The sequence below is a fragment of the Homo sapiens genome, chromosome 3, assembly GCF_000001405.40.
Source record: "Homo sapiens chromosome 3, GRCh38.p14 Primary Assembly".
NCBI lineage: Eukaryota > Metazoa > Chordata > Mammalia > Primates > Hominidae > Homo > Homo sapiens.
In genome coordinates this window covers 114,495,575-114,514,278 of record NC_000003.12, presented here as the reverse complement: position 1 = coordinate 114,514,278, position 18,704 = coordinate 114,495,575, and the positions used below count along the sequence as shown (strand labels likewise).

General features: G+C 37.8%; 1 protein-coding gene and 1 long non-coding RNA gene across 18 annotated transcripts in view; one reads left to right on the top strand and one right to left on the bottom strand.

Annotated features, from left to right (window-relative positions):
• ZBTB20 (zinc finger and BTB domain containing 20) overlaps positions 1 to 18,704 on the top strand; it is an 832,789-nt gene that overhangs the window by 633,010 nt on the left and 181,075 nt on the right. For all 17 annotated transcript variants that reach the window (NR_121662.3, NM_015642.7, NM_001348801.3 and 14 more), the window contains one exon: positions 13,888 to 13,927. The gene's annotated coding sequence lies outside the window, so the exon portion shown is untranslated. The remainder of the gene's footprint in view (positions 1 to 13,887; positions 13,928 to 18,704) is intronic.
• The window catches only part of ZBTB20-AS5 (ZBTB20 antisense RNA 5), a 66,540-nt gene that overhangs the window by 5,854 nt on the left and 41,982 nt on the right, over positions 1 to 18,704 (bottom strand). The gene's annotated exons all lie outside the window — the stretch shown is intronic.

Here is an 18,704-nt window from a genome sequence, read left to right as displayed (position 1 = left end):
TGATGTTGTCAATATATAAGTTCAAAAAATAGCTTTGGGGGAATTTCAATAAACAACTCTAAATAAGTCCTCTTTCCTTTGCAAATATAAATCCTTTGTTAAATTTTATTTTTTTCCTTTTGTTTTCTACTCCTGATTCTGTTATAGCTCTAGCAATGCTAAAAACAAGCTGGTTTGGAGATTAATATGACCAGACATACCATGAATTTTTTAAATCTCAAAAGTCCCAGTTTATCCTTCTTGGTAAATCGAATATCTGTTATATATACATACATATACACATACATAAACACATACATACATACATACATATTTATGCAGTATGTTATTATGTCTTCTCTAAATTCTTTTTTTTTTTTGTCTCCCTGTCTCCTAGAATTCTTCCTAAATGCTTTTTTTTGTTATAATAAAGAGGTAGGAGAAAGAAAACCTGAAGAAATGGAGGAGAAAAGAGTATGAAGTGCTAGAAGATGGAAGGAGAAGGCACACTATGGAATAAGGGAAACCAGTGAGGAGATTGAAAAAGTAGTGATTTTCTTTTCCCGAGTTCCCTTAGACTGCTTTTAGGTTTGGTTTTGATATTTCTCTCACCTAGTGCCCCAAAATGACCTCTCCCTAGCAATTTGTTCCATAAAAAATATTCCTCTTACTGCCAGAAAATATCTCTTACCTGTCAAGCAGGTTGAAATATCCTGCCCCAGCATCTAAACATCCTCTCCAGCCTGCCAAGCCCCTAACCACCTGACCCAGGGGACTTGGACCCATTGCCATTAGTTCTACACACCCCCTACCCCATGCCAGCATGGAGAGTGTTAATGGCTGATGTAAGTGTGAAAGAACATAAGCGATAATTTGGTTTTACTTTATTAAAATTCAAAATATAAATAGGTAAACTACATGTTGAATTCATAAAATTCTTCCTCCACTGTTTAGAAATACAAAAACTGCATTTTTAGAAAAGGGATTGATTGGTGTCATGTACGTATTTGTTCACGTCTGTTGATGCAAGATAATAAGAGTATTAACATAGAGGTGGAATAATGGTATTTATAATTTCATCACCACTGTTTATATAAGATAAAAATGTCTGAAAGCAACAGAGAGAACATTTGCTGCTCTATACATACATTAAATTCTCCCATTTTTGTTTATAAAGCATATGAGGAGGAAAAACAAGTTTAACAAATTGAGGAAGAGTTAGTGTTCTTTTTACCATGTCCACTGTCATTTACCTAAGGTAGCCAGGTTCAGAAAATACCAAAATATAGTGGAGAGGGTAACTCCTTATAAGAGAATATAGGGACCAGAAATATGCACTTGGTTAACTGTTCTCTGAGATTGAGATTACTTGAGCTAGATTATGGTCCTCTGTTCAATGCAGAAATTGTTCTACCCCAGAGAGTAGTGAGTACTACGTCTGGGAGACCAGTAACTTGTGTGTAATTTGCCTGTAACTTGAGATATGTATCTTAGGGGCTGAGGCTCCATTCCCTCTTTCAAAAAAGAAAGGAAAAAAATGGTGCTTCAGATCAGATTGTAAGGACTCATTTCAAAAACTTAAATAATTCTGGGTAGACTTTTATATTTTCATGGCTGTTTGAGAAAGAAAAGTTAGTTGGGAGTGGAGAAGGGGTTTCTCATTTATATAAAAATTAGCTGTGTTGATAGTATAGCTCACAAAGGATCAGGTCATTCATGAAAGGTTAATGGATGTTACAGGGCAAATGAATAAAAACAAATAAAGAACAAGAAGAGGAATCATCATGGCAGGTGGTTATATTTATAACTTGTCTAAAGTGGGCTAATAACCTGTCAGTGATAATAGAGACAGAAACTCTCCAAAACATACATTAGAGTGGAAGGTCCTTGAGGGCAGAAGTAGAATCCAGTTGGCAGAGTAATCAATAATAGACTCGGGAAAACTATTTGTTGAATTAATGAATGAATGCATGGTGTTGGAAATACTTTGTATATTCTCCCCTATCTTAACCAACTCTCAAGATAAGTTCAGAAACTTTATTAGGCTGTCATGAAAGAGTTGATATTTAACAAGGACATAAAGCAACTAATTTTTATTAATTAGTTCCTTTTAGTCCCCATTCATATTCCTATCCCTGTCTATTTTATTGTCTGTTGGACCAATTTTGCATGAAAATGTTAGGAGATGAAGTCAGAGAAATAGTAAGGGACATACTGTATTGGTCTAACAGACCATAGTAAAGGCTTTAGAATCCTAAGCATCAGTGAGCCTGAAAAAGTCTACTGGGCAGGAGAGTCTTTGAAATCACAACAACCCTATTTTTTTCAGAATTACCAGATGAGACACTTCAGCCAAAGGCTGGAGCCCTAGATATAAGAGCTTGATTTAGGCTATTTGTTAACTGTGATATTTCTGACCAGTATAAATAAAAATAAACTGTGCTTCACTGGACCTTTGTTTTTTGCCTATTGAGCTAGTTTTATCCATCAATTTACCCCAGTTGGCAGCCTTACCTAAGAGAAGCTTAGGGAGCAGTAGCAAATGTGTTTTTCAGCACACTGAAGACCTTATAGAACTTATCTATAAGGTCTCCAGTTCTAAAGTGTAGGATTTAAGACACTAAACAAAAATTTAAAATATTAGATAGATTTTCCCTTGTACTAACTGTTCACTGAACTAAGAATTATAGAATTCCTGTGTATTTAATAGTGTATGCATAAATCACTTTGCAAAGGAAAGAGAGGTTAAAAGTTCACATAAGACATATATGATCTCTAACCAAGTCCTTCCAAGGTGAACCAATTTGCTACACTTACTTGTAAGAATGAGAGAAATCCGATAGTTTGCCTAAGATGGGATATTCAGAAGTCATTTTCTTGTCCATTTAAGTCTAAATCTTTAAAACTCTGAAGCCATGTTACTAGTAGAACCGAGGGAAATAGCCTAGAATTTTTCTTGTCACTTACAGAGATGACAGACTTACAATATGATGATTCTTTTGAAAGCTTCTTACAAGACCTAGAACTTGTCTGGCTCCATTTATCTGGCCAGGATGTATTTCTATGATTTATCCAATGAGATTCTTAGCAGAGCCTTACATTTACTGCATAAGATAATTATATTTCTTTTCTTTGCCATGACAAAAACCACTCTATACTATACACATAACTTTAAAGGTTGCCTTTTTTTTTTTTTTTTAGCATGTGGACAGAGTCTATAAAAGCTTTTTTCAGTTTCATCATGTTGACAAGCTGATTCCATTAAATCACCCACCACCATCATGTTCACTTTTTTTTTTCTTTTTTGAAAAGTTAGAAAACAGTGATCATCTTAGAGTTTTCAAGGCATTCCCTTTGGAAAAAATAAATCTGGAAAAACATGAGTCTGTTCCTTCAAATGGAAAAAAGGCCCTTCTCTTGAAGCTATTCGGGATAGGGAAGGAGCTCTCGGTCTTTTACCCCCTGTAAGATCGGATGTTTTTTAAACATTCTGAGTATAGATCAAACTTCTCTACCTCAGTGTTTCTTATGTATTATTTGCTACTTCAAATGGACACTGCAAGAAGTTAAATGAATGACATGAAAGAGATTCGTTCAGGGATTTCTTAGTATTTTGCACCCTCGGATGCAATGCAATTAGATAATATTTTAGGATCACACTGCTGTTTTGATTAGGGCAGATATATCCCTGCTCCTCCCATCACCATGCTTTCCTCACTGAGGGGGAAGAAATCATATGATCATGCTGCTGCTGGGTCATTTAAAGCATTGAGTGGATGTGTGAAATGAGAAAAAAAAAAAAGCTCAGTGTGGGGTTAATTAGCTCTGTGGCGTTGTGGGTGGGTCACTTCCTCCAGACCAAATCATGCAGGAGGAACCATGCATGTGCAGACTGACAAAATTAAAAGAAAGCCCATGAACCTTCAGACTCTAGGACAAAAATTGATTGCCTTTGGAAACAAGAAAGGAACCCTTTCATGCAGTGAGTACTTTGGGCTTCATTGGTCAGAGATGAATGGACTTCCCTTGAAGTGTCGGCTCAGGCCACTGTCATATACTGAAAATGAATCTATGGTTTGAGAAGGACCTGGCAAATCTGGTACTTTTAAAAATTTACCTCTGCTGACACTTTTTAAAATCATGTCTTTCTCAATTAGGATACTAGCCTTATTTTTGAGGTCTCATCTTGGAAACAACATAATTTCTTCCCCAAAGTATGGGTGAATACTTTATATTTTCGTAATTGTGTTTCACGGTATTTCACAGACTGCTGCGGGTTCCCTGCCTGCTGAGATTCGTTCAGCTGTGGTTTGGCCTGAAGGGTTCCCACTAGGTTGTTTACAATCTAATCCTTGAAGTGGGAGGTTAAGGAGCAGATAGAAAACATCCTCGATCCCTGGATCATTAATAGGTGAATACAAGAATTCAGATATTTACAAGGAAATCTCACAGGCCAGGATTTCTAGGGCAGAAAGATATTGTGAGAGGCTCCTGGAGCATATGCTGACAAGGAGCCAGGAACCAATGGAGATTATCCATGAGGAAAACACTGACAAATATGTTAATAAAATTTCAGTGCAAACCATTTGGGGTTTCTTATGTTTCTGCCTAAATTACTCTGACTTTAGTAGTAACAGCACTTCATGGAGTATACAGAGAGTCACCAAATGTTTATGACTTTTGAGAAGAAGAATATGTGTGTGTGCACGTATGATGTGTGCATTTATAGGTATATATCTTTATTTGAAGTAAAACTATAAGCACAATTGGCTTCTTGAGGTGGGGAAGCAAATGACCCCTTTTAGCAGTATACTTGGAAAACTCGAAGCATCTAGGACGGAATTTGCCACCACCACCACCACCACCACCACCACCACACACACACACACTCCCCAAATACTTTGCTTATTACCTGTGAAAAAAACTGAATGTAGATCTTGTATCAACAGTTAAGAAAATGCAAATTCCCCTAAGTAGAGGCATTAAAACAATTAAATGAATATATTTTTAGCAAACTGAGAGCAAGTTGTGGTTGGGGAGATGGAGAGCTCACTAAGAGTATCCCCAAAGAAGCAGTCTCAGCCGCATTTGTTTCTGTTTCTTTAACTGCCTGGTGATAGGAATGTGGATGTGGAAATAAGTAGGACTAGAAGGTGGGGGAAGCAGAAAGTAAGTTTTGCTAATTCTAACAACCTATGTTATCAGCTTATTGTGCCACAGCTTTTCAAAATTCAAGTTGCTGGTTAACTTGACACCTTTACTGTTCCATTCATTATGAAGCAGCATAAGCAATGGCTACATGCACCAACCATTATCCTAGTTAGGTTGTCAAAGTTAGCTTAATGCTGACTTTATTTTCTGTAGTGATACTAAACAAAACGTTTCTTTTGAAAGGTCTTAGACCTCTATCCTCCCAACTCCTGATCACAGTAATAACCAACCTCAAGAAGTCATTAGTGAAGACTAGAACAATATCCTATAACTAGTCAGCTATGAAGAAATTGGCATAGCTGACTCTTTGATTCATGTTCTTATGGAAATAATGGGTTGCAAAATAAAACTACATTTCTTTCTCTCTCTCTCTTGAATTCATTTTTTTACTGGATCTTCTCTACAAGTTACATTGGAATGCAGATTTTGTTTTTGTTTTTGTTAACAAGATTCGAATAACACTCAAAGGCTTTAAAAGCCAAAGTCCATCTTTAGATATAGCTTTCTTCTTTAATCTACTGCCAGTTTCTTATGTATGTGTATTTTTACCTTCCTGATGCCTTCGCCTGTTGATTGGTACATGTTAGTGCTTTGCTTATAAGAGTTGGGCAATAGTTCAGTGATCCAGTCCAAATCTGGGCCATAGATAGAATGGACTCATCTTCTATTTAAGAAAAGTGGCAAACTGCTTTAAATGAATTTGGTTCAGACAAGGTCATTGGAGCTGTTCATCTAACCCTGTGCTGTATGTAATGGACACTTCTGCTGAGCTCCAAAGCTAAAAGGTAAATAGACAAAGAAAGCCAGTAACTTGCCACCCCTGTTAGACCTTATCTGTGAGTCTGTTATTAGATTTACATTCTTAATCATATGGGGCACATTTTGGTCATTTAAAGGAATTGTTTAGTGGTTCTCCTGTTGTCTTTGAAGATGGTCCAGGAAATAATAATAGTGAGTTCATATATTACTTTCTGGACCTTCAAAAAACTTTTTCTTTAATTGGAAATTGAGTTTATATACATATTCAATATGAGGTTTATGAAATATTCAGCAAATTTCTTAGACATGAAAGAATTAATTGTTAGACTGTTTTACTCTAGATAATCGCTATGTTAAAGCCTTAGTAGATTCAAGTACATTTTTCCCAATTTTATTTGTGTTATATGCACTTGGCAAATTGAATAAAAAACGTGAGCACCATATATTACTATTTTGAATGTAATAACTTATCAACTATCTGTATTGCTTATTTCTTTTTAAACTGTAGAATGTATTTTACTCAACTGTATTGTGATTCTGTATAATTTTTAGGGTGAACATTTTATAGAATTTTATAGAATCATACAGAGTTAAACAAGACTAGAAAAGTTATTGAATTCATTCTCCTGACTGGAGGCAGAGCTGCATTTATTTTATCCAAAATAGATGAAGATTTTTCCTATTTTAAGAGAGTCAGGAAGAAAGAAATTTCAGAACTGCTCTTAGCAATCTATTTGATTATTTACCACTTGCATATTTAGAATGTTCATCTTTAAGTCTTAAATTCTGCACTGGACGGTTTAATGTCATTTTGCCCTAGGACAAAAATGCTGATCATTATCCTCTTTGTAACAACTTTTCTTATAGTCAAAAAACCATAAAGACACACCTCAGCTCTTTCTTCCCTAAGCTAAATTATCTCAGTTTTTCAAACATTTGCTTTTGTTTCTATAGCTCTTTCTATACCTGAGTGGCAAAGGGGACTATTTTTAAAAGCTCTGTCATATGTGATGCCTCTTAGAGAGGCACTGCATATTTTAATTTCACTGTGCTGATGTGGAAATAGCCACAACTTTTTCATTATATGCTGATGGACAGGGCATTTGTGTTCATTTAACCTTGAGGTTTAAACTTGTTCCCGAAAAAGTAACTGACTCATAGCATTGGCTAGACCCAAGAATAAAGAGCATCAGTTTTCCTAATCTTCAAGCTCATCTTGCCCCCACTCCTAAAATGCACTAAAATTAACTTTTCCTTGACCTCTCTCTGGTGCTATTTATTTACTGATTTAACAACTTTCTTCTGTCATCTCTGTCTCCTAAAATAGACGGACAGCATTTATTCAACAAACATTGGAGTGTCGTGCTGTGTTTCACACACTATGCTAGGCTTGGGAGATTCAAGTGTGAACCGTTAGCTGACTCAGAGACATAGATGTCCCAGGCCATGTTCAGGGAAGAGCAAATAGGCTGTCACCGTATATAAAGAAGCAGCAGTGGGAAAATTTTTTATTAAAAGTAGAGAGGTGGGCCGGGGCCAGATTGTGAAAGGTCTTGGAGGCTCTTAAGCAAATAGTTGGTAGTGACAAGTCTAAATGATTAGACCACATGATAGCAGTGCCAAACCTTTTCAGCATCCCTTAAGATCAGTTTACTATAAGTCAAAGGTCCTGGTACATCAATCCCTTTGGAATTTATAGAGCTACAATTTCAGTAGTTTAAGATATAGAAGAGAAAGTTCTTTGGAATCAGATTGTAAAGGATTCCTGAATGTCATCATGCTAAGGAATTGTGTCTAGTTTAGCAGCAATAAAAAACCATCCTAAATGTATTAAACAAATTCGGTCCTTGCCACCCCTCCCAGCACTACTGCTTTCATTTCATTCTAGTCTGTCAGACCCTATCCCCGTAAGAATCAAGAAGGAACAGGGAGATTCATATGGGGTGGGATGGAGTGTTACATTGTATCTTGGCAATGTCTCAGGCGCAGAAGCAGTCCCAGACCTAATTGCTGAACTTTAAAATCTTCTCTCTTTATTGATTATAACCTTATTTCATCATCAAAATTTTGAAGGCAGGCCATTTTTTAGGATTGTTATCATAGCATCTTAAGAAAAAAAGATCTCAGTATCATTCTCTTATTGTTCTTCTTGAGACGGATCCAAAATAATATGCGTTTTGGAAAGCAGACCCCAAGATATGTATGACCATTTGTGGCATTTATAGTCTTCTTCTTCCTGACCAAAAGGAATGAAAATACATCAAGAATCTGTCCTGCAGGAAACCCCAAAGTACCTAGAGAGTGATGGCACAGGTTCTGTATGCACATATAAATACCCTTGCATCTGGCTTTCTCCTGTAAACCTTTTGCCAAATAGAAAATAGAGAATTAAAAACTCCCAAATTCAAGATGCATGAAATGTCATTAAATCTAGTACAAATTTTTTTGAATCTGTCAGATAAAGGAAATCATGTATCCAGAGTAAAGATGGAATATCAGTTGACAGGCACTTAATTTTGAGAGACATATAAATCTAAAAATCTAATAGTGCCTCATCCTTTGAAAACACTGGAAACCAGAAAGGTATTAGGAAAATCAATAAGGTAAAAATCATCATCCTACTATTTGGAATGACTCCCACATAAGAATTAATTAACGCAATACTTCTAGAACGTTAAAGGGATGTTAAAACATTATCTCTACCGATAGAAAACAAACATATAAACCCATCTAACTTTTAGACAGAGTAGTTAAGGAAAAAAGATTGGAAATATTAATTAAGATTGGAAATAAGAGGTCATTTCTGTCCTGTTGTCACACCATTTACCCTCTTCAGCTAGAAGGATAAGTGTCAAACTTCAGTTCATCCAAATTCCTCAGCTCTGTCATCAGTGCAGTGACACATTCTAATTTTCTGACTCATTTGTGATGAATAATCTCTCCCTTTTCTATTCACAATGCTGAAAGTAACCAATTTTGGTGTGAGTTATGATTACTTATTTTCCCTTTTTTTCAATTGCACTATTATTGTTTTCTCTTAGCAGAATTTGTCTCACTCTTTATCACCCAGTGTGAATCTCATGTTCAGAAAAGCCCATGGACAGTAATAGTGCCTAGGCTTGGAGTTAGTCAAGAGGAATGAGAGTCTGACGACCCAGATTCTGTTTTTAACCCAGCCAGATACCTCAGCTGGCAAGTGGTTCAGCTTCCTCACCATAAAATGGGTATAATAATAGCTTTCGCTTACCACTGTGAAATATTTAGAATGCAAATCAAGCCAAACCTGTCTGCTTCCAAAGAGAAGCTTAAACTAGCCTGCGTAATCCTGAATGAGCCCAGATTCAAGGGGAAACATAAAGTGGGAAACTCCTAAAGGTAGTGTAATTTAGTGGTTAAAAATATGTAGATTTTGGAATGGCACACACTTATTCAGACGCCAGCAGCGGTATGATCTGAGCTGTTTCCTAATTTCTCAAATTTCTCTTTTTTCTCTAGTAAATTGGAAGTAACAGTATTTTCTCTTGTAGTGGGGATTAAATGATACACTGCTAACCATGCTTCTCAAACTCTTCCACTTGGGTGATCCTCAAGTTAGAGTGAGTGATCCAATACTAAGGGTGCCTGCCAGGACATTGCTTGAAGTAGTCTGCCACAAACAAGACTTTTCAGTGAAGTCTCAGGTTTCACCCAAAAAATATATACACAGATTTTCCTTTCAGCTCCTCAATATATTCTTGTTTGTTTCACTCAACCGGAAGTTCCATGAGGACAAGAACAGTATCTGTTTTCTTTTTGGTATAACATTGAAGAAGTAGTTATTGGATAAATGAACACGTGTGCAAATAAGACTTTAAATTACTTGCCCACAAGGAATACTGACCCTCCAGGAAGACAGCCATGTATTTACTATTTATTTTGTGGCTTTTTCTACTCCCGTTACACTGCTCACATTCCTGGGTATACTCATATCCAAATTTGGGAAGGATTTATTTCTCAAGGTACCTGAAGGACTCAGTAGATAGTGATTCTTATATCATTATCATCTCTCTGCTCGGTACTCCTCTACTCCATTGTTGCTAAGGCTTTGTAGATTTTTTTAAAAAAGAAATTATAAAGGACTAGGAAGGTAGGAGTCTGGCAGGCCTTCAAAGAAGCCTGTGTGGCTCTAACCACATACCCTTACCCACTTAGAACTCTTTTTTATACATTTTCTTTGCTGCTGGCTTTAGTTTATAGCATTTCATGAAAACTCTGTAGAGGTGAGTAGCTATGGGATTGAAAGAGGGTTTTTCTCCCCTGTCTGCCTAGGCCAGGGGTTCCTAACCTGGGATTCATGAATGGCCTTCATGGAGTCTAGGAGTTCCTTGAAACTTGGTGTTTTTGAGGAGTTTTCTGGAGAAAGAGATTCTCATAGGGATCGGTATCACTTCAAAATGTTGAAAACCACTGCTGTAGAACTTTACATAAACTACACTAGAATTGACTTTAAAGTTATAATTAATAATATTTTTGATTCTTGGAGATTGACACTATATAATAATTTCCACTCAGACATTATAATACGAAGATTAAACTTCACCCCTCGTCATCCCCCTCTCTCTGCTCATCCCCCACCTTCCACCCTGATATTTTAACGTCCTGAATTACTTGGGCTTTACAGTTTTATACTCTTTGCTAGATATATTTATGCTTTGAACAAAGTGTGCTTAATGCAAATGTTTTTAATCCTCTGTGAAACTTTTATAGATAATTCTTTGCATTTCAGATAAAAACAACTTATAGACATATAAGGTGAATATCACTTAGGTGGAAAGAGCATGTATCAATGAAATAACAATTTGAATTGAGCAAATATAAATCTATGTAGATTAATACATATTCTCAGAATTACATAGCAGATTATAATTCAGTCAAGAAGTAGGTGTCTTTTGATGCCTATGAACATTTATGAATTGTGTAAGAACTCTGAGATTAAATTTTTAGCCATACTATTAAGTTTGGGATCATATTATCATTTTATATTAACATATAAGTACAACAATTATATCCAATAAAACTTCCATCTAACTTGGCTTTAATTTGTTTTAGACTGTGACATACACACTGTAATTTTTCTCTCCATTTTGGATTCCTATCATTGACAGCCATCCTGTGTGTCATTTGACATCCAGGAAAGATAGTTTTTCATTCCAGACATTGGATGTGTTAGTCAATTTGGGTACAACTTACATTGATCTCTTTTGATCACATCAAAAATTTAATTTTAACTAATTTTATGAATAAATGCACCTTGAAATTTAGAAAAGAAAGTTATGTGTTTAGATATAAGAACATAAACACTAGGTATAATTTTAGAAGAGCATAATATTGTTGAGAGTTATTGGGTTTATAACATGCAACAGAAAAATGATCATTGAACATATTTCATAGAAAATTGCTAATAATATTTTCTTCTTCTCCCCAAGGTTAGAGAAGACAGCAAGTTCAAAAAAGGAGAGGGAAAGAAAGAAAGAGAAATAGAGAGAGAGGAATGTAAGAAAGGAGGGAGGGAGGGAGGGAAGGAAGAAAGGAGAGAGGGAGGGAGGAAAATGGTAAGAAAATATGCCCCTGTGCCATAGTCTAATATCCTGGCTTGCAGAGAAGACTAGAATATAGCAAAACTTAGAGCTTTAAAATCTTTGAAGACTAGTCAGTGTTATATATATATTTCAAATTTGTATGTGCTTTCAATGAATCATACATAATCTAATTCTCTTGCCTAAAATTTTCATTAAACTCATGAATTTTGTGAAACAATTTGAAAGCATTGGAGATCTCCAGCCTCTCTTGTATTAGCATTATAATAATCCAGGCTGGAGATTTTCATCTTAACTCGTCTTGTCACCATCCTGCATCAAGTACACCTGCATGTACTTGAGCAAGGTTTCACATTGACCACAAAGGGAAATCATTTCTTTGAAGAAATCTCTACAATAGTGCAGTTGTCCCAGAAACTTTCCAGGAAGGGTGATGTCTTTAATTGCTGGTTTTCTGCTTTAGCCTTTTCAATGCAAAGATACTTAATCAGGTCCTTCTACTTGATCTCCTTTAGTGAAGTTTGTTTTGCATATTTCTGGAGGCCTTATGTGAAGTTGTTAAAATCATGGTGTCAGAGAGGCAAGATTGAATCACCCTGTATTAAATTCTTGATATATTTAAGTGGGCTAGAGGTAGGGGGACCTGCTTTGTTTTCTCAGTATCTTTTTTTGGTTTATTAATTTGTCATGGCTCTCCTCCTACTTCAGTTTTATCCTTCTAAGAGAAGCTATCAAAACACTGATGGGTCTGGGCACGGTGGCTCACACTTGTAATTCCAGCACTTTGGGAGGCCAAGGTGGGTGGATCACCTGAGTTCAGGAGTTTGAGACCAGCCTGGCCAATATGGCAAACCCCATTTCTACTAAAACTACAAAAATTAGCTGGGTGTGGTGGTGCGTGCCTGTAGTCCCAGCTACTCAGGAGGCTGAAGCAGGAGAATCGCTTAAACTCAGGAGGCAGAGGTTGCAGTGAGCCAAGATCGTGCCACTGCACTCCAGCCTGGGTGACAGAGGGAGAGTTCATCTCAAAAAAAAAAAAAAAAGAAAGAAAAAAAAACAAAGCACAATGATGGGCAGACCAGTCCTATAATAGTTTTTTTTTTTTTTGGCCTGTGATTTTTTTTTTTTTGACGGAGTTTTGCTCTTGTCACCCAGGCTGGAGTGCAGTGGCGTGATGTGGGCTCACTGCAACCTCCGCCTCCCAGGTTCAAGCAATTCTCCTGCCTCGGCCTCCCAAGTAGCTGGGATTACAGGCGCCCGCCACCATGCCTGGCTAATTTTTGTAGTTTTAGTAGAAACAGGGTTCCACCATTTTGGCCAGGCTGGTCTCGAACTCCTGACCTCAAGTGATCCACCCACCTTGGCCTCCCAAAGTGCTGGGATTTACAGGCGTGAGCCACCGCGCCTAGCCTGGCTTGTAATTTAAAGAGTGAAATATCAGATTTTAAACATAGAACAAGAACACTGTTAGGGTCAGCTTCTCCAAAATCTAAAATTTTCATCATTTCATCTGAAATTTTCATCACCAAACAGAGTTGTGTTTGGTGGGAGAGAAGCTTTGTTTAAAATCACTTTATCAGATTATTTTCCACCATAGAGGGGACATTCTAGGCTGGTGAGAAGGGGTAGAGGCAGTTTTAGAAGGCAAGTCCGGGGCAAACTTAGGACTGAGTTCTTAGCTACACACGAATGTATTGAATTTGTTCAGAGGAACTTCTGGACATTAAACATACTAAATATACCTTAAAAGAGACAAAGTTTATCAGGGTTTGACTCATCTTTGTCAAAATTAGCTAAAATTGGTCATGTACTGTATAGTAAAGCTTTTACCTATTCTAGTCAGTGCTGCCCAATAGAAGTTTCTACAATAATAGAAACATTTTCTATCTGTGCTATCCAGTAAGGCAGTCACCAGCCACATGTGGGTATTGAGCACTTGAAATGAAGCTGGCAAGACTGAGGAACTAAATGTTTAGCTTTTTATTAAATGTTAAATAATTTAAATTTAAATAGACAAATGTGGCTAGTGGCTATTTTGTTAAATGGTAACATAGCTCTACCAAATCCTATATGATACAGATTAGAATGAAATGAACAAAGAAAGGTCTTTGCACTCCTTGTGCTGGGAAGTACTGTCTTGGTCATCATAGCAGGGGGTCATACCTTTAGAAAGTTTTTATGAAGCTGGGTCTCCTTTATTTTGAGGCTAGAAGTGACAAAATAGGCTCCTTTAGGAACAACCAGTCCCATCTATGCCTAGATTTGCTTTCTTTCTTCCCACTGTATCATTTTGCTTTTATATATTGGTTTTGCATCATATATCGGTTTGCTTTTAATTCCTTATTTTTTCTTTGATTTTCAGATCTTTGACCATCAGTCTGTGACCTGCCCCTTCTCTTTACGTAAGTAAAAGTGATTTCTTTACCTTTAAAAAAAAAAGTGTCAGATTTAGGAAATTGTGGTTTTCACTGGCATATTTCCTAGTTGACTTTGTTGTGGTTTCTAGTGCTTCTGTAGTGTGTATTAGTTTCTTTTGCGTTTGGAGTGTATGCTGTTGGTGGTAATACTAAGTTGCTATCCATGAGGGTGCAGAAAATACCAGTGGCCCAGATACTGTACTTCTATAAAGGCTGCCCTTTACTTGGCTGCAGCTGCTGTTTGCAAAAGTCACTGCTCTTTTAAAGTATAGCTTACATTATTCAGCCAAATACCAGCAACAGTTGGGCTTTTGCTCCCCTGTCAATCATTGGGCAATTATGTATTCTTCAGTTATGTACCCATCCCTAGGTCCAATAGTTTTTAATTTTAACTTCTAGATCAGAGCTTTCATTTATTGACAAAATTTCTAATATCCCTTTACTAAGAAGTACAAGACTGTAAAATAAATAGACTAAACTTTTGTGCAAAATTATGAAGTCTACAGGGGAAAAAAAGAAATCCCAGATTCACGTGTGCCAGAAGGTTTATAAAGGTACCACTCTTTTTTAGAAAAGATGGAAAGGTATTCGGGGGGAAAAAAAAACACGATTTTATATGAAAAAAAAGAGAACGTTCATTATTTAAAATTCAAACCAGGCTGCACTGAATGGGTTTAAATAAATTTTATTTTGAACTGCTTGAAAAAGATTCTAGGCCAATGAACCCAAATAATCAAAGTCACTTATAAGAGACACCACCCAAAAGATCCTACAGGTAGTGATAGTCACCTAATGTGATAAATAATTATCGGTATCCTCTGGCTGCTTCTCACTCTCTGGTGAGCTCTGTTCCTTATTCACAACATTATATCTTGCTTCACTGACTCTTCACTCCAAGGTATTTCTTGTATTATAATCATTTGCACAGAATGGAGGTTCCCATGGCTATTTTGTTTATGCGTGCCTTCCACTAACATTCCTAGAAGATAGTGGCAAATATATTTAGGGAGGCAGAATCCTCCAAAGGATGCTAAGGCTAAAGTGTAACGTGACAGTTTATTTGACAGAGAAAGGAGATTGATTAAACTCCCCAAAGACTGGAGCTGTGTGTAATGCATTTATACAACAGGGGTGGGTCCTACCTGTCCCTGACAAGTCTTGTTATTCTCTATTTCAGTGTTGATAGAGTGGGTCTGTAAATGCTTTGGAGGATGTCAATATGCATGCTTATGGTTACCACTTTATATCTGCACAGCCCTCCCCTCAGTTACCTAGCACTGCATATTTCTAGTCCTCTGACTGGCAAATCATTTTTGTTACAGTTCTTTTGTGTAAAAACAGTTCACATAATAGCTCTGTGTTAGACAAGGCATTAATCCTCACATCACCGGGATGAGTCAGCACAGTGCACTCCTGCCCGCACGGCTCAGCTATTGTGACGTCAGTGCTATAGGGCGAGCCTCAGACACAAGCAGTACAGGGGACCTGTGTCACCAATTAGGAATCAAGGGGGAGACTTTTGAGATAAAAAGTGTAGTTGAAAGGCTGTCTCTGGCTCATAGGAAAATGCAAATCTGATTCTATGCTACATCAGCCATCAGTTGCATAGCTTCTAGAGATATCCTATTTTTTAACCACACATAAGGCTGGGGGAGTGACCTATAATGAGCAGATAATCCGTTCATATACCCATGACCTTGTGCCATCCCTGGGCCAGGCTTCATGTTTGCTTGGCTTGTTCCAAATCTTGAAGCTGCCCTCATATCAGCAGGGTGACCGGGCTTATGACAGTCCTACTGTCCTCAAGTATCCCATAGACACAGTTGATGGTTGATGGCTCCAGAGTGGTGCCCCAGAGGCTCGACAAAAGGAAAAGAAATGTCCAATGTCCCTTGAGAACAGATCAGAACATTATCTCCCCAGTGCTTTGACTCCAAGTGCCTCTTCAATGGCCTCCTCTAAACAGGTACAGAATTCTGCTTGTTCGATCTTCTCTTAGCAGTGCATTTAGTCCAGTATCACAATCTGTATTTGACCTGGATTTCAATAGGAACTGAAGAGCTCTCAGATGTTCCCCCAAGAATTTCCCATTCCATTACTGTTTAGCAGAAACAAAGAGGAACCCTCCATAATCTGCCATGCTACCTTGAAGCAGGTAGCACAGACTTACCTTATTTGGGAAACTTGGTTCTTATAAGTTAGGTCTCTATACAATTCAGATTCAGATTTATTCTCAGGACAATATCTTTCAGTATTGAATATTAAGTCTTGAAAAGGGTGTTAATTTACAGCCTTAGTGGCAGTCTCTGTTAAAAAGACCTTCCTCCATCACAGAATTTATCCCTCACTCTTACTGTCACCCCAGCCAGTCACCAGCCCCTGCCATACCCATCAGAAAGTGCCTTACTGCTGGGATCTTCTGCCTTCATTAGATTGCTAATGGGCTCCTACTATGCTTATAAAAGCTAACACTACTACTTGGCTTCGTTTTGATTAATTATCATGTACAGCTCTTTATTTAGTTTTCATTCAACAAACATTTATGGAAAGCTAGTCACTGTGCTTGGTTCTGGAAACTCCGGGATAAATAAGAAATGCTTTCTTTTGTTAGAAATCTCAGTCTGATAGGGGAGATACATAAGTGAATAAAGACTATAGCATATGATAGGCACTGAAATGCAGGTATATACAAGACGTAGTAAGAGGAATGAAGGAGGAGTGCCCACTTGGATGTGGTAAGGTGACCAGGCTGGGTCTTAAAGTCAGAAGAGTAAATTGCAGTTTACCAGGTAGATATGAAAGAGCAGAAAGAAAAGGGGATCATAATCAAGAAAAATGTAAGAGCATTTACAAAATCAGGAGGCGTTAAGTAGCAGCGAGATTCAGAGGAGTGAATAGTTCAGTGTGATTGAAACATGGTGGTTGAAAGAGTAGTATGAGATTGGGCTGGAAAGCAGGCAGGGGACCTTGCCTGCCATACGGAGGACCTTGTATGCCGTGCAGAGGAGTTTGGACTTGATCCTGCAGGCTCAAGGAGGCTTTGAAGAATTGTAAGCAGATGTATGTTTTAGAAAGAGCACTTGGTGAAAGTGGAGAGGCTGACTCAGAATAGGGAGACCAGGTCAAAGGTAAAAGCCAAAGGCCTGAACTGTGCAGTAGGGGTAGGATGGAGGGAGAGGCTATTTGGTAGTGTTGAAATAGACATTAACCTTTGTGTAATTCCAGCATATCTTGGCCTATTGCATAATCTTTGCCTTCTAGGAGAAAGGCTGAAACATTGTGTGGAGTCAAATTTCAGACCAAAATACATCCTTATGGGATCTTCAGCAAAGACCTCAATTTGAATATGACCTCACTTTGAGCTACTGCCCCCTGGTCACCAGGCTCGCGTGCCTCCTACTGCCCATAGTGGGTGTGAGGGAGGAGCAGGCAGATAAGGAGAAGACATTCCCAGTGTCCTGCTTGTCTCTTCTTTCACCTGAAAATGAAACAGTTTCTAAATAATGCCCCCCTAAAGTCAATCAATGCCCCAATTTCCTATCATTTTCTCATTGCTCCCTTTTTCTAAGCAAAATTTCCAAACCATTGAACTGAATTGCAACTTATGCACAGCCGGGTGTTGAAACAATTCAGTGTATTCATTCCTTCTCTCTGAATTAGAGTTCACCATAAGTGTGCTTTTCTCTTGTTCACTTTGGGCTGCCAGGACAATTTAAAGGAAATTTTCAACAGCTTATGTTTCATGTACTATGTTCTCTTTTGCAAATGGGAGGATATGCGTGGGTGTGTTTAAGCCTTCTCTATATTGCTTTCTGGAGAAAGGTTTGGGAAGATGAACAAGACGAGGAGTAGGGACCTATTGAAAGCCCAGGTCCCCCAGTGACCTGAGTGCAGAACGTAGGCTGGTGATCAGATGGTCAATTATGTGTTTGTCAAAACACAGTGGGCTGCATTCCAGGCTGCCAGCTTTGGAAGCCCAGCTTCTGCCAACCAAATGTCATCTGGGAACATGCAACACTGGGCACTGTGAAGGAGTTTGAAATAGACCATGCCACAGCCAACCTACTGCCAGTCTTATAGCACCAATATGGCATGCACAGCCGGGCCCCATGTTTCAGAGCTCAGGAATTCACTGTACTAAATTCAAGAGGTCAGATGGGTTCATGTTTTCAAAGCCTATGTTCTTTGCTTTGAACACTGTGACTTGCTCCTCAGCAATTTCCAAGGGATTTTTCCAGTCACATCTCTGTGGAAACCACTCTTTTTGTGATGGTTATAAGATCCTTGTAAATGTCCCAGAGGATAGGAAAAAAAAAAATCAACTTGCTCTGACAATGACTATGATTTCGACAGAGGGATTCCAACTCTTAGGAAATTACATTAAAGGTGCATAGCTTTTAAAATATCAGGAACCACCTTGGCAACTTATAAAAAGCAGAAGGGCTTTGCCTATTTTATAAAGTGATTTGCATATACCTGCATAAATAATGTCCCCACCTGTACTTTTATGCATTTAGGTTGAATAAATTAAATTTTGTGATCTTTAAAATATTCACTGTCTTTCATTGCTCAGACACCATTTTCAGGACCCTTCCTCCTCATTTCTTTTCCTAGTGATAAGAGTGGCTATTTTTTTTTCAATCTTTTGACTCATTCAGAGAATCAAAACACTCTGAACACCAATCGACTATAGCCAGGAATATTACCTCCCTCTGGTTGCATTTCTCTTAGCCTTTCTACCTATCAGATGGTGAGTTCCATG